The following is a 15,440-nucleotide window of genomic DNA, read 5'->3' as shown; positions in this document are numbered from 1 at the left end:
TGGCTTTGAGCCTGGTGGTTATACCAGTTATGTTTCTATGGAAACAGATATTGGAAGAGGCAAACACATAGAGTTTTAAATAATTTCAACTCTTACCTTCTATCTCCCTCTACAGCTGCTCTGGGGGGAAAAAAAGTCAATCCTAAAGCAGGCACTTTCAGGAAACAGCTGGTATCTTCATAAAGCCTGTCCAAGCCTGACTTCACGCTACTCATTTGAAAATAAAGAGACATTGTAATGGCCTGGGTGGGGGAAGTGCTGGAGACCAGGGTCTGCCCTACCCAGTAGGCTGCTCACAGGTGGCCTGGTGGCCAAAGGCTTTGGATGCTAAGGGTCACACTCCAAGTGATGGGTCCTCACTGCTGGAGCCATCAGCCCTGAACAGTGAGTGAGGCTGGTCTTGTCACACATAGTTATCCATGGTGCCCTGGATGGCCAGGCTGGGGCCCCAGCCAGATGCAGACCATGGTCCAGGCAGGGCAGTGGAACTCCACAGGGGCCGTTGGTTGGTCCATTACCCATGGGCTGCCTCCATTAGCCTGGCCAACTCCTCCTAGGGAGGACCATACCCCATCTGAAGTTCTAACCACATCATTCTCCTGTTTAAAATTTTCCCCAGCAGCTAAAGGATGAAGTCTGTACTCCTTAGCTCAGCTCAGGAGGCCTTTGATGATCCGGCTGGCTCGCCTCCCTAGCCTTATCTCTCACAACCCCCTTCCTTGTTCCTTGTGCTCAGCTACCCTGAGCTATTGTTACTTCTCCAAAGCATCCCACTCTCTTCCTCTATGCCTGCGCACCTTCTACCCAGAACACCCCCTTTCCACCCCCAATATGCCATCTTCATATGTAAAATCCCTGCTTGACCTTTGAGAGGCAGCTTAGAAGCATCTCCTCCAGGGGCCTGTGGACCACATGGGCTGCCTGGATGGACACCTGTGTCCTGTGCTTCCATCTCACACTGTTCACCCTCATTCTGGTCACAGAACTGATCATTGTCTGTCTGTGTGCCGGTCCCCTCTTGTCTGTGACCTCCTCAAAGGCCATGGCCATCTGTGTGTCCCCAGCACCCACCACCAGTGCCTGGCTCAAAGTAAGTATTCAGTAAATATTTATTGACTAAATTATTCCCTCCACCTGGAGCTCTCCCCATGCCTCCATATGTCCAATTTCAACCCATCTGTCTGGGCCCATTAAGCCGGCTTCTCGAAGAAATGTCTTTGCCGAGTTGCAATTTAATTTAATATTACACCCTCACCTTTTGTCAAGAGCCCACTTCTGGGGCTGAGGCTGCCAAGTGAAGCATGATTCAGCATCTACTACGAAGGATGTTGTTCAGTTTGTGTCCCCGAGATAAAGATCCACAGGTTAGGTCCTCGTGGAACTGAGTACCAGGAAATGGGCTGTGCTCTCTCCGTGAACTTGTATCTACTTCCTTCCTTCCATCAGGCAATCGTAACTGGATAAGCCACTCTGTGTTCTTTTTAACCTTGGCTGCCAGAAAGTTGGAGCCAAATTCAACGCTCAGCCGCAATAACCATCTTATCTCAGGTTCCTGGAGGATTATCTCACCTTCTGATCATTCGTCTTTATTTTTAACTGTCCTGTTGTATTTAGGCTTTTAATGTGTGCTGTCTTGAGCCCTCTGGGAGAGGAGGCAAGGTGTAAATTCTAGATTAAGTTATTAAAACAAGAACTTCAGGCGAGATTTAATTGGAATGATATGCCAGAGAGACATTTTAAGGGTGTCCACAGCCACGTGCCTTCTGGCATGGATCCTGGCCCAGCCTCGGCTCGGCTCTGCAGTCAGCATTGTGGGCACAGATGTGTCTGGGCCCAGTGTATGGACAGAATAGCTCTGCCAGCCACCGCCGCGATTCTGGAACATCTTGTGTGGAAAGGTGTGTTGGATTCACGAGAGATTGCAGTTGATTTCATCTTCCTTGTTGGCTTCCCTTATGTCTGTGGGCAGCACATGGGGCCAGCCAGAGGCCCATTAGGACACAAATCACAAAAGACAGAGCCACAGCACCAGGGCCAGCCCTGAAGCTGGAACTTCTCCATCTCTACCTGTCCAGGAACTCTTCAGGGCATGAGCTGTTTGCTAGAAATTCTCAAGTGTCATGAACAGAATGATTGGAAACTTGTGTGACATCCTGGCTTCTTCTGACCACTGTATTTGTCTTGTTAAAGCCATTTTTGTTCCTGAGCAAAAAGAGTCTTTAAATTTTTATTATTTTTAACCCAATGCCACACATCCATGTTGGCAGAAATACAGGCTGCAGTCCCCATGAAGACCTTCCCTCTTTTCTGTGGGTAAACTCCAACCAACCTACCTCTTGGTAAATGGTTCATCATCAGGGTGCTCCTTCAGCATTTATGGGGTACCCATTGTCTGCCATGCTCCCTTACGTACTGCATGTCTGATGAGCAAGATTAGGTATGTCCATAAAGGGTGGTGTTACCAGCTTGCTGCTGGTAGGTCTGTGGTTGATGCTATCAGAGAAACACACAGGCATGAGCCAGGCGTGGTGGCTTATGCCTGTAATTTCAACACTTTGGGAAGCCAAGGCAAGAGGATCACTTGAGCCTAGGAGTTCAAGACTAGCCTGGGCAACATGACGAGACCCCGTCTCAAAAAAAAAAAGAGAGAGAGAGAAACACACACACAGAATAGATTGTAAACAACAGCAACAGTACCCTCTTGATGACATTTGCCTCCAAACACTTGGTTTTAAGTTTAAGTTACTGTGCTGAGACACTGGACTTAATTTTCTAAAGTATGAACTAAGATTGAATCTGGGTTAATGTCTCTCAGAGGGCAAAGAAGTGAGAGAGAACATGCATTAGTCAGGGTCTGCTAGGTTTTGCTGTAGTAACAAAAAAAAAAAAAAAACCCCTCACTGGATTAAAGCAATAAATGTTCTTTTTTCATCACAGCACTTGTCCACTGAGAACCAGCTGCAGCTTTCCCCCACCATGGTGTCCTACCCCGGGACACAGCTGGTGGCAAAGGGAAAGAGTGTGCGGCAAAGTGTGTGCCAGCTTTGAGCTTCCACCCCAGAGTGTCACATGTCACTTCTACCCATATCTCATTGCCCAGAATGCATCATATGTCCATGCCCGAGTTCAGTGAGCCAGGGAAGAGCAATCCTACCGTGTGCCCAGAAGGAAAGAGAGAACCAGGTATTGCTATTCAGCCATGATGACTACACTAGCATATTCCCCTGGCTTTTGGTTGCTGTACAAATACCACACCATTCACTAGAATGTGAGCTCCATGAGAATACAGGGGGAGGGAGGGTTGTGTTTCATTCACTGCTATATCCTCAACATCTGAAAAAGTACCTGGCACATAGTACATACTCAATAAATAATATTAGTTGAATAACTGAGGAAACACACCTTAGAGAAATCTTGTTAGATCTATGGGCTATTCTCTGAAAAATTTTGTACCTGTTCTGCAGACGCTATTGCCAAATCACATCCTAATCCATCACTTCTGTCTGCCTCCACTGCTGTGACTGGGGTCCACACCACCGTCATCTCTTATCATCTGCCATTCCAGAGTTGGGGTGCAATGAGGCAAGGCTACAGGTGGTGCAAAATGAGCAAGTGGTTTGGTGAATAAAGAGCCTTTATTGTTGAAGTCACTGAGTTGTTTGTGGTGGTGGATGTAATCATAGCTTTCCAAGGCAGACTCCAGCTCATTGCTCCTTCCAAGTCATTCTCTGCATGGCTGACTGGCAGACAGAGGGATCTTTTTCTTTTTGTTTCTTTTTTTTTTTTTTTTTTGAGATATAATTCACATATCATAAAATTCAGTCTTTAAATGTATACCCTAGTGGTTTTTAGCCTATTCATAAAGCTGTGCAACTATCACCACTATCTTATTTGAGAAAAACGTTGTCACCCCAAAAAGAAACCTTCTTTTATCCATCACCCCTTCTTTTTCCCTTCCCTCCAGTCCCTAGCAACCACTCATCTATTTTCAGCCTTTATGGATTTGTCTATTGTGGACATTTCATGTCAATGGAATCAAACAATCTATGGACTTTTGTGCCTGGCTTCTTTCACTTAGCGTAATGTTTTCAAGGTTCCTTCATGTATCTGCACTTTATTTCTTTTTATGGCTAAGTAATATCCCCTTGTTTTAATATATTGCATTTTGTTTTTCCATTCAACATTTCATAGATATTTTGGTTGTTTCAACTCTTGACTATTATGAATAATGCTAATGTGAGCATTCATGCACAAATTTTTGTGTGAACATATGCTTTTAGTTCTCTTGGATATATACCTGGGAGTGGAATTGCTGGGCTACATGGTAACCATGTTAACTCATGTTAACATTTTTAGGAACGGCCAATTTTTCACAGTAGCTGCACCATTTTACATTCCCACCAGCAATATATGAGGGTTCCAATTTCTCCACATTGCTGCCAATCCTTGTTATTTATCTGCCTTTTTGATTATAGCCATCTTAGTGAGTATAAAGGTTTCTGGTGGTTTTGATGAGAATGACTATCAAATAACTAATGACTAATGGTGCTGAGTGTCTTTTTACATGCTTATTGGCCATTTATGTATCTTTGTTGGAGAAATGTCTATTCAGAGACTTTGCCCATTTTTAATTGAATTATTCATCTGTTTTTTGTGGAGTTGTAAGAGTTCTTTATATATTCTAGATACTAGGCCTTTGTCAGATATATAATTTACAAATATTTTCTCTCATTCTGTGAGTTGTCTTTGCATTTTCTCAATAATGTCCTCTGACACATGAAAAATTTTAATTTTGATAAAGTGCAATTTATATATTTTTTCTTTTATTATTTCTGCTTTAGGTGTCATAGCTAAGAAACTATTGTCTGATCCAAGCTCATGAAGATTTACACTTATGTCTTCTTCTAAGAGTTTTATACTATTTGTTCTTACATTTAGGTATTTGATCCATTCTGAGTTAGTTTTTGTACATGGTATGAGGTAGTGATCCAAATTAATTATTTTGCACGTGGATATATAGCTGTGCAAGCACCACTTGTTTGTTTTGGTTTTTTCGAGACGGAGTTTCACTCTGTCGCCCAGGCTGGAGTACAGTGGCACAATCTCAGCTCACTGCAAACTCCTCCTCCCAGGTTCAAGCAATTCTCCTGCCTCAGCCTCCCGAGTAACTGGGATTACAGGCACCCACCACCATGCCTGGCTAATTTTTGTTTTTTTAGTAGAGACTAAAAAAATAGGCTCTTGGCCAGCCTGGTCTCAAACTCCTGACCTCAGCCTCCCAAAGTGCTGGGATTATAGGCGTGAGCTACCGCCCCTGGACACCACTTGTTGAAAAGAATATCCTTTCCCCATTGAATAGTCTTGTAACCCATGTTGAAAATCAGCTGACCATGGATGTGTACTTGTATTTCTGGATTCTCAATTCTATTCCACCAATTTATATGTCTATCCTTATGCCAACACCATGCTGACTTGATTATTGTAGCTTTGTGGCAATTAAAATTGGAAGTGTGAGTCTTCTGATTTTTTTCTTCTCTTGCAAGATTGTTTTAGCTATGCAGGGTCCCTTGAGATTCCATATGATTTATACGATCAGTTTTTTCATGTCTGTAAAAAAGGCTGTTGGGATTTTCATAAGCGTTGATTTGAGTTTGTAGATAATATGGGGAGTATTGCCATCTTAAGAATATTGTCTTCCAATTCATGAACATGGGCTATCTTTTCATTTATTTAGGTCTTCTTTAATTTCTTTCAGCAATTTTTTTTTCTTCCGAGATGGAGTCTCACTCTGTCACCCAGGCGGGAGTGCATTGGTGCAATCTTGGCTCACTGCAACCTCCGCCTCCCGGGTTCAAGCGATTCTCGTGCCTCGGCCTCCTGAGTAGCTGAGGTTACAGGCACCCACCACCATGCCTGGCTAATTTTTGTATTTTTAGTAGAGACAGGGTTTCACTATGTTGTCCAGGCTGGTCTTCAACTCCTGACCTCAGGTAATCCACCTGTCTTGGCCTCCCAAAGTGCTGGGATTACAGGTGTGAGCCACTGAACCCAGCCTTCTTGGTGGATTCTTTAGAATTTTCTACCCATAAGATTATATAATTTGCAAATAGAGAGTTTTGCTCCTTTCATTCCAATTTGTATGCTTCATATTCCATTTTCCTGAATAGCCAAAAAATTCTCGGATAGACTTTCAACCTACTTATATCTTTGAATCAAAAGTGAGTCACATATACAGCAAATATAGTCAGATCATGTTTTTTTTAATTCATTCTGCCAATCTCTGCATTTCAATTGGAGTGTTTAATCCATTTTATGTAATTACTGGAAAGGCAGGATTTACATCTGCCATTCTGGAAGATACTTTTTTGTTTTTGAGACAGAGTCTCCCTCTGTCGCTCAGGCTGGAGTCAGTGGCGTGATCTTGGCTCACTGCAACCTCTGCCTCCTGGGTTCAAGCGATTCTCCTGCCTCAGCCTCCCGAGTAGCTGGGACTACAGGCACATGCCACCATGCCTGGCTAATTTTTGTATTTTTTAGTAGAGACGGGGTTTCACCATATTGGCCAGGCTGGTCTCAAACTCCTGACTTTGTGATCCACCCGCCTTGGCCTCCCAAAGTGCTGGGATTATAGGCATGAGCCACTGCGCCCAGCCAGATATCTTTTTTAAACGCACGACGTATCTTACTATTTTGCACTTAAAATTCTCCAATTTAAAATAAAACCCACACTTCTTACCTTGCTACAGGTCCTACACAATCCAGTCCCACTCCATATCTGACTTCATCTAGTTCCTCTCCCTGTGCTCACCCCAGTCTTTAGCCATGTGGGCCTTCTGTCTGGAGCTCTAACACTCCAACTTTATTCCCAACTTTGTGCCTTTGCATTCATGATTCTTCTGCCTGGAACGCTCTTCCTCCAAACCTTTTCAGACTCTTTCCTGTCATTCAGATCTAGCTTAAATGCCACCTCCCTGATCACCAGATCCTTAAATGTCCCCCAACATTCTTTCTCACCTCCCCTGTTTCTCCATCACATTGCTTATTCCTCGTTCTCTCATCTATATTCTATCATCCACTAGAATGTGAGCCCCATGAAACAGGGCCCTTAACTATCTTACTCAGAGCTCTTTCTCCATGGCCTTGCACAGGGCCAGACAGACACACAGCTCAATATATGTTGGTTGAATGGATGAGTGAATGAATGAACAAAGGAATGCGTGCATGAATGAATGGATGATGGACAAGCTTCCCTGGCATGATTCTTGTCAGCACTGACAACAGCTGAGTAGGTAATGTGGTTGCTCAGTAGCTGGATTGAACTATTGGATGAATATGTTGATACTAAAAAGAAAAATAAGTAATGTTTTAAAGGTGAAGAGGAAGTTTGGTTGTTGTTGTTGTTGTTGTTGTTGAATGATTTCAAAGAGAAACTTGACTCGTGGTTCTCAATCCTGCTACATCACCCAGAAAAGATCTTTTTGAAAATACCGGCCCGGGTCACACCCCCCAAAATATCTGATTTAACTGGCTTAGAAAGGGCCCTGTGCATCAGGAATTTTTTAAAGTTGCCATGGGTTCTGGTGTGCAGCCGGAGTTGAGATTCTCTGGTCCAGACTCTCACGAATCTCTAGGAAGGGCCCAAGACTGTACCTTGGATACCAGGGTGATAAATAGACTCAGGACAATAAATTTTTACGACTAGAAAGTAAAAGAAGAAAAGGCTGAATCCAGAAAATCTGAAGTCCAGTTGGTCCCTGCCAGCCAGAGATGATGATGATGACAAAAGAATTACAGACTCAGAGAGAGGCCCACCTGGGGAGTTCATGTGTGCAGACCCCAAAGAGCTACGCAGGCCCTCTGGTCTCATATTTTTCTGAAAATCTTTGTGTTAGCATTTGAACAATTGTTTCTCCAGTGGAAGAGAGAGAGCAAGGAAGAGGAAAAAAGGGAGGTTTCTATGAGGTTTCTATTTCTGCAGCATTGTTCATTGCAATGGGAAGACAGAGGGTGAGCAAGTTCCACACCAGAACTTTAGGCAGGTTTGTTTCTAAGTGCTCTACAATCACAAGGAAACCACTGACCACAGAAACCAACAGGGAAGAAAAAAGGACAAGGGAACCACAGTGTCCAGGCACCTCAGCACTCATGGTGGCTCGGAAAGGAACCGCCAGCCCTGTGGTGGGATGTTCATTCTTTTCTGCCCTTGTTTAGCTTGAAGTTTCTCCCTAAAGCGATAGTGGATTAAGCTTCAAATACTGAGTTGTTTTGTCCTTGACAAAGGATGAAACATTTAACATGCCCCAAAGATGCTCTGTTCATGTCAGAGGAGGCTGAGACAACCTGTGAACCACCCCTTAGGGGACAGCAGCCAGAAGAAACACGATCATTGCTGGTCCTGCCCAAATCTCACTTCCCAGCCCACCCACCCATACTCTTGCCCTTCTCTGGACTGGTACCCCAACTCCAGGCTTACCCTACTCACATGCAAGCACCCAATAGTAAGCAAACACGTACTATAATAATGACAACAGTGTCTCACATTTCAACAGCATGGCAAAGTTCACAAAGCACCTTGACATCCCCATTTTAGAGATTCATCAGAGGAAACTAAAGCTGAGTAGGTGACCTGACTGGCCTGAGATAACCTTGCTTGCTACGCATGAGAACTGGAACCCAGCCCAAGCCTTGTGGTATTGGATGAGTCAGTATCCCTTCCACTGGGATTGATCCATTCACACTTCCTGCTTCTTTTTGCATCCGTCCCTTTGTTTTCTTTTTCTTCATTGATGCTTTCAAAATTATTAGCTTCCAATTGTGCATAATGTTCTCTTACAAATGCTTAAATCTCTTTCACATCTGTGATTATCTGGTTGATGGTTCATGAGAGTGAACAGATATTCAAATCCAGCAAGTTTAGATCTGAGAGCTTCACCTTCCAGTCCCGCTTCATCCTTAGTACTAGATCTACTCAGCCTTCTTCTAGGATTTCAACAAAGCTGCATTGTCTTAGGAGTAACAATAGCAAAAATAATCATAGCAACAGCTTTTCTTGAGTGCATGCTATGTGGTAAGCACTGTTCCAAGTTCTTTGCTTTATCAACTCATTCAGTCTTCACAACAACCCCATGTGGGAATTACCATTATTATCCCCAGTCTACAGATGAGGAAACTGAGGCACAGAGGGGTTAAATAACATGCCCATGGTCACACAGCTGGTAAATATACAACATGTAGCCCTTAGTGGTTAAGCAAGTAGACTCTGGAGCTAGGCTTAACTCCAAATCCCAGTTCAGCCACTTACTGTGTGAAGTTAGGTTAGTGTACTGGGCTGAATTGTCATTCCCCCTAAACGATATATGCATCCTTACCCCTGGACCTGTGAAATGTGGCCTTATTTGCTAAAGGGGTCTTTGCAGATGTCATTATGTTAAGGGTCTTCAGAAGAAATCATTTTGGATTACCCGGATGGGCCCTAAACTCGATGACAGGTGTCCTTATAAAAAATACACATAGAGGGACACAGACACAGGGGAGAAGGCCATGCGGAGATGGAGGCAGAATGATGCAGCCACAGCATGGAATGCCTGGGGCCACCGGGAGCTGGAGAAGACATGGCAGGATTCTTCTCTTGAGCCTTCAGAAGGAGCACAGCCCAACGGACATCTTGACTTTGGACTTCTGGCCTCCAGAACTGTGCAAGGATTAATTGTCTATTGTTTTAAGCCGCCCAATTTATGGTAGTTTGTTACAACAGCTCTAGAAAATGAGTATCATTTCTGAGGGCTTCAGCCTTAAAATGGGCCTAGATAGGAGAAGTGCCCACTTTACTGAGCTTTGGGGAGGACTAGAAGGGATGCCTGTAAGATTTGCCCACACCCAGCACCTGGAGAGCACTTGATGAAGGTTAGCCCTCATACAGAGCATCATTTATTACCCGGCCTTTGGCTGCTCTGCCCTGAACCCTTGCAGAGCCCACGGAAGCCAGCCCTTCACATTGCCATCTTCTTGTGTCTGACTCGTTGCCACTGGGACCCCTGAGCCCAGCCCAGCGTGTTCCTGGCTCAGGAATCTCAGAGGAATCAAATCTGACTCCCAGACCCAGGCTGCAGAGGCCTCTCTGAGCCATTATTACCAGGGCTGCCAGAGCGAGACTATGAACATCCACATGTGGCGTTTTAATATTTTACCCAAGAAGTCATTTTCTTCCACGATTCAGACACAGAAGACTCGAAGAATTAAAGTGAGAAAGGTACTCAGGGCCTGCATGATTTCCGCCAATGGGCGTGGAGGATTTTCCTGTGTCTGTTCAGGCTCTTTCTTTCTTATCTGCGTCTTACAGCAGACGGGAAGCCAGCTGACGAGAGATTGCATGTTCATACCAATTATTAAAAATATATGGCAGGCTTCTGGAAATGCATTCACATGCCAAGGAAATAGAATGCAGTCACCAGCCCAGGCCCCTGCACTGTGTGCTTTGGAGGAACAGTGCGGCATCTGTAAACACAATGATACAAGGTTTTGGACCAGATTCTGCCACCTCCCAGCTGCGTGACCTTGGGTGAGTGACTTAACCTCTCTGAGCCCCAGTGCCCATAGGGGAAGTTCATTCCTCCCTCACAGGTTTACTGTGAGCGTCATTAACTGAGATAACATGTTCAAGTACCTAGTTCTGAGCCTGGCACATAGAAGGAGGTCAATCAGTCTGATTTGTTTCCACTCCCTGCCCCAGAATTTCCTGACTCCCTAAGAAAACTGACATAACTACCCTGCCAACCTCCCAGGTCCTGAGGTGCACTGCTGCCAAGAGCAAACGTGCAGGATAGATTTACACCTTCCAGTGCACTTCCATGGCCATCCACTCATTTAATCCTGCAGACTCTGCTGCAGAGAGTGTTCTGTTTCCATTTTGCAGGGGAGCACCTGGAGAGCTCTGAATCACATAGGTAGCAAGTGGGGCTCAGAGGTGAGAAGCCAGGCCTGCTAATCCCCAAAGCTCGGCTCCTTCATACCCCATGCTGACTGTCAAATGAGCTGATGGATGGGAAATTGCTCCATAGGCAACAGAGCTCTATCCCAGCCTGAGGGCTGGACTGTTGTTATCTCCAGCACCTGTCTGTGATCAAGGCTCTTTGCTACCTTTTTGTCCATGTGTATTGTCCTCACTTCCCCCTTCTAGGCATGAGCAGGTTGGATCAGTCTCATTTGGCTCATTCCAAGGCAGTCTGTGAACTTGCCGCATGTGTGGTTAAAATGTATGCATGCTCCCACTCCCACTTCCCATGTGCCTTCTCATGCTCCACGCTCTCTGCCCCACCCACACTCACTGGCTCGCACATCCAGGAGGTGCTCAGCACAGCCTGTCCTCTGTTATGAAGAAGACTTCGTGGAGCTCAGGTGCACCATAGAGCCACTAGAGAGACACGTGTCATTCATTCATCTGCCAAACCCACATTTACTGGGCACCCACTATGTGCCAGATGCTGGAGCCACAATGATGGGTTAGGTGCAGCCCCTGATCTCAGGACTCCCCCAGTCCAGGGGGACAAGTTAATTGACAATGGCAGTGTAGGTGGCAAGTGCTAGAATAGCTCCGCCCGGGGCCCTGTGGAAACGCAGAGGAGGTGGCTGCTCATCCTGCCTTGAGAAATGTTTCACAAAAAAAAAAAAAAAAAAAAAAAAAGAAGAGGGACTTTTCCCCCAAGTCTTCAAAGAACAAATAGGATTTGGATAAAGAAAACAGAAGCTGTGCAAAATAGTTCATCCTTTCCTGAAAACGTTAAACAGAGTTACTATTAAGACCCAGCAAGTTCACTCCTAGGTATACACACAAGGAAAATGAAAACATCTGCTCAAAAACATAGACATGAATGTTTATAGGAGAGCTATTTATAATGCCAAAAAGTGGAAACAACCCAAATGTTCATCTGCTGATGAATGAATAAACAAAATGTGGTCTATCCATACAGGGAAATATTACTCAGCTGCAAAAAGAATGAAGTACTGACGCATGCTACAACGTTGATGAACCTTGAAAACATTATGTTCAGTGAAAGAAGCCAGACGCAAAAGGCCACATATTGTATGATTCTATTGGTGTAAAATGTCCCAAACCGGCAAATCCACAGAGACAGAAACTAGATTAGTGGTTGCTTCGGGCTAGGGAAGGAGAGATGGAGAGTGATTGCTAATGGATATGGGTTTCTTTTGGGGGTGATGAAAACTATGAGATAGCCGTGCTAATTGCACAGCATTGTGACTATATTAAAAACTACTGAATTATACACCTAAAATGGTTTAAATTGTGAATTTTGTGCTATGTGAATCTTACCTCACTTTCAAAAAGAAAAAGACAGGAAAAGATACATAAGGACATTCCAGGTAAAGAAACAGTGAAAGCAAAGGTAGAGAGAGGGGGACATGCTCTTGGAGAAGAGCAAGTGTCCAATACTGGAGCATGATGCACTATATTTTTCTTCTGTGGCTTCACAGCTTTAGAAGGCTAAATGATTGTCGGGTCCAATACCTGTAGTATCTGTTAGATGTTGTCGGTTGCAAGTAACTCAAACTGGCATAAACAATAGAGGGAATATATTGGCATCTTGAAAAGGTCCAGCAGTAAAGTGGACTTCAGGCACAGTTTGATCAGGGATCAGTTCCATTTCTGTGATTTTTTTGTCCCTGCTCTCCTCCATGTATGAAATATGTCATTACATTTGCTTCTCAGGTGTCATGGAGATATGAAAAGAAAGATGCATGCATTTCAACTAGAGTGATTTTAGAGGGTTTCTTGGACAACATAGAATTTTTGCCAAGTCTTCAAAAGATGGGTAAAACCTCAAGGAGTCGATATTCCAGGTAGATGAAACCCCTTGAGCAGGAAAATGTAGGGTGTATCTGGAGAAGAGTTCAAGAATTGGTTGGGTCTGGCAGCTTGCCGATAGAAAGTAGATGCAGGGCTGGAGGGAGCTTGGACTTTAACCTGGAGGCACTGGAGAGCCATACAGGAAATTCAGCAGTGGAGAATGTGATGAGCTCTTGATAACGCCTACTCTGGTTGTCAGATAATTTTACGAAATTATTTTTACTTTTAATAGATATGATAATATTGTGGTTATGTACATTCATGCTGAAGTGTCATGGAGTCTGCAATTGACTTTCAAACAGTTTAGGAGGGAAAGTGTGCATGTGTGTGTGTGAGAGAGAGAGAGAGAGAAGAAGAAGAAAAGGAGAGGAGAGGAGAGATGGGGAGGGAAGGGAGAGAGGAGCAGATATGGCAAAATGTTAGCCATCATTGACTCCTGGAGGAGAATACACAAGGGTGTGTTGTACTGTTCAGCTTTGCTGTATGAGAAAAAGAAAAAAATGAGAGTGGGAGAGACAAAGCACTCTGATAGAGGGACAGGCTCAGGAGGTGGTACAGTGAGGGGGCAAGAGAGAATGAGCCCCGAAGGGCAGGGCCGAGATGCCCCATTGGTGAGATGCCTCAGGGGCCCAAGCCACAGGGCTCAGGGTGGGTGAACGTGGCTAGGGACGTGTATAGGCACAGTAGCCCAATGACTCTGCAGCTTCCAGCCCAAGGGTCCAAGAGGACCCTTGTGCCTGGAATAGAGCTTGAAGGCAGCAGAGGAGGAGAAGGAGCCCCCAGGCAGGGCTGGTTTTGCTCCCTCCATAATTAACAATTGTCTGTGTGACTAGGTGTTTAGTCATAGAATTTCAGAGCCGGAAACGACCCAAGAAATCTAAGCAAATCTCTCATTTTCCTGATGGGGAAACCAAGGCATAGATTTACCTGGACTTTCAGAGTCAGATAGGTGACTAAGGACAAGCTACCAGTTTAAACCATTCCTACAAACACCCTGGTGACTGTCCACAGCAGAAATGACCTGAGGAGACACCAGCTTGCTCTGCCCTTCCTTGGTGAATCTTTGAAACCTTTTCTGAGTGCATATGTCATCAGGGAGCTGCTTCTTGAGTGGGTTGCCACGTGGGGTTTCACTCGGGCCAGGCACTCGCTGGTCTAGGGGCTTTATACATATTGGGCCATTTAATCCTCAATCCTATGAGACAGGTGCTATGTCTAGCCCCATTTTACAGATGGTAATGATAAGGTTACATGGTGGCCACAAGGTCACCTCATTTGTAAGTGGCAGAATTGAGATTAGAGCTCAGGCAGCCTGGCTCCAAAGCTGGCACCTTTAACCACCTTGCTACCCACCATACCCCCTGTCTCCTAGTCGACTGGACTTCCCCACATTCTCAGTGACTGGCTGACTGATGAATTGATGTGTTTATTGTCCAGGGAGAGGGTCACCAGGCAGTTCTGGCCCCAGCCTCATTGGTATGTCTGCAGTAAGTCAAGGCCTATTTATTACTCATAGAGTATTTTGGGGGTCTGTGATAAAGAAAAAATGCAAAACTTAATTTCACTTCCCTGCTACACTGCTCATTCTTTTTTAATAACCCTCTCTTATCAGCCTCCTGGCAGCTTTTGCACTTCCTGTGCATGTTAATTACTTTATTAATTACATTGATATCTTTGGTTCTGCCCAGCATTTCTTGGTACTTTTTGTTTGCAACGTGCACCCATTTTGCCTTGCTCATTGGCATATGCGGGCCCAGTTCCCATTTCTAAAAGGGATTCTTTGAGCCTCGGTAAACACATGGCTTTCAATTAGTCGCACAATCATCATTTCCCATTTTTCAAATCAGCCACGTCACTAATAGAGTGTTTTTAACATTCTCCCAAATAGAGGCTGTATTGTTAAGTTTCTGACATTCTTCCTCAATCCTTGTTTTCTCTCCACGTCACAGCTCAAAGAACCCCATATACCCTAGCATGGAGTGAGATGCTAGACACTAAGAAGTCTAGGGGGAGGAAGCACGGGAATTGAACCCTGGGACAGATGGAGACAGGGGTTTGTGAGATGAGGCTGGAGGGTGGCCTTGGACCAGGTCCTGGGAGGACCTTAAATGTGACCTTGAGAAGTACAGACTTTATCCTAAAAGCCAATATCCACCCAAAGTATATGGTTTAGAATATTGATCCCATTAGCTGTCCCAAAATAAAAGGGAATGGAAGATCATACGGTCTGAAGTTTAAGAAATCCTCAAAACTACATATCTGCTTCTTGGAAATGTATAATATACTTTTAGCAGGTTAAAGGCTCTGGAAAGTTCTGCAGTTTTATTTTATTTTATTTTATTTTTTTTGAGACAGTCTCACTCTGTCACCCAGGCTGGAGTGCAGTGGCGCAATCTTGACTCACTGTAACTTCCACCTCCCAGGTTCAAGCGATTCTTGTGCCTTAGCCTCCCGAGTAGCTGGGATTACAGGTGCACACCATCACGCCTGGCTAATGTTTGTATTTTTAGTAGAGACGGGGTTTCACCATGTTGACCAGGCTGGTCTCAAACTCCTGACCTCAAGTGATCCGCCCGCC

The 15,440-nt window shown here is 44.6% G+C and overlaps 1 protein-coding gene across 4 annotated transcripts in view, besides 3 other annotated features; it reads left to right on the top strand.

Annotated features, from left to right (window-relative positions):
- The window catches only part of GABBR2 (gamma-aminobutyric acid type B receptor subunit 2), a 420,827-nt gene that overhangs the window by 365,859 nt on the left and 39,528 nt on the right, over positions 1-15,440 (top strand). The gene's annotated exons all lie outside the window — the stretch shown is intronic.
- Positions 10,259-10,403: an enhancer, noted in NCBI's record as "145 bp enhancer 175 fragment used in the MPRA reporter construct; PK_construct_4053". NCBI's record gives its function as "activates an SV40 promoter by MPRA in K562 cells {active_cell/tissue: K562}" and the evidence as "EXISTENCE:reporter gene assay evidence [ECO:0000049][PMID:23512712]".
- Positions 10,322-10,339: a transcriptional cis regulatory region, noted in NCBI's record as "GATA motif; enhancer activity is reduced when this motif is scrambled". NCBI's record gives its function as "necessary for full MPRA enhancer 175 activity {active_cell/tissue: K562}" and the evidence as "EXISTENCE:site-directed mutagenesis evidence [ECO:0005528][PMID:23512712]".
- Positions 10,896-11,190: a silencer, noted in NCBI's record as "tiled region #5055; HepG2 Repressive non-DNase unmatched - State 24:Quies". NCBI's record gives its function as "represses a minimal TATA promoter and a strong SV40 promoter by Sharpr-MPRA in HepG2 cells {active_cell/tissue: HepG2}" and the evidence as "EXISTENCE:reporter gene assay evidence [ECO:0000049][PMID:27701403]".

Source organism: Homo sapiens, chromosome 9 (genome assembly GCF_000001405.40).
Source record: "Homo sapiens chromosome 9, GRCh38.p14 Primary Assembly".
In the NCBI taxonomy this organism is placed as follows: Eukaryota; Metazoa; Chordata; class Mammalia; order Primates; family Hominidae; genus Homo; species Homo sapiens.
Note: the sequence above shows the minus strand (reverse complement) of the source record. Positions and strands in the feature narration are given on the sequence as shown.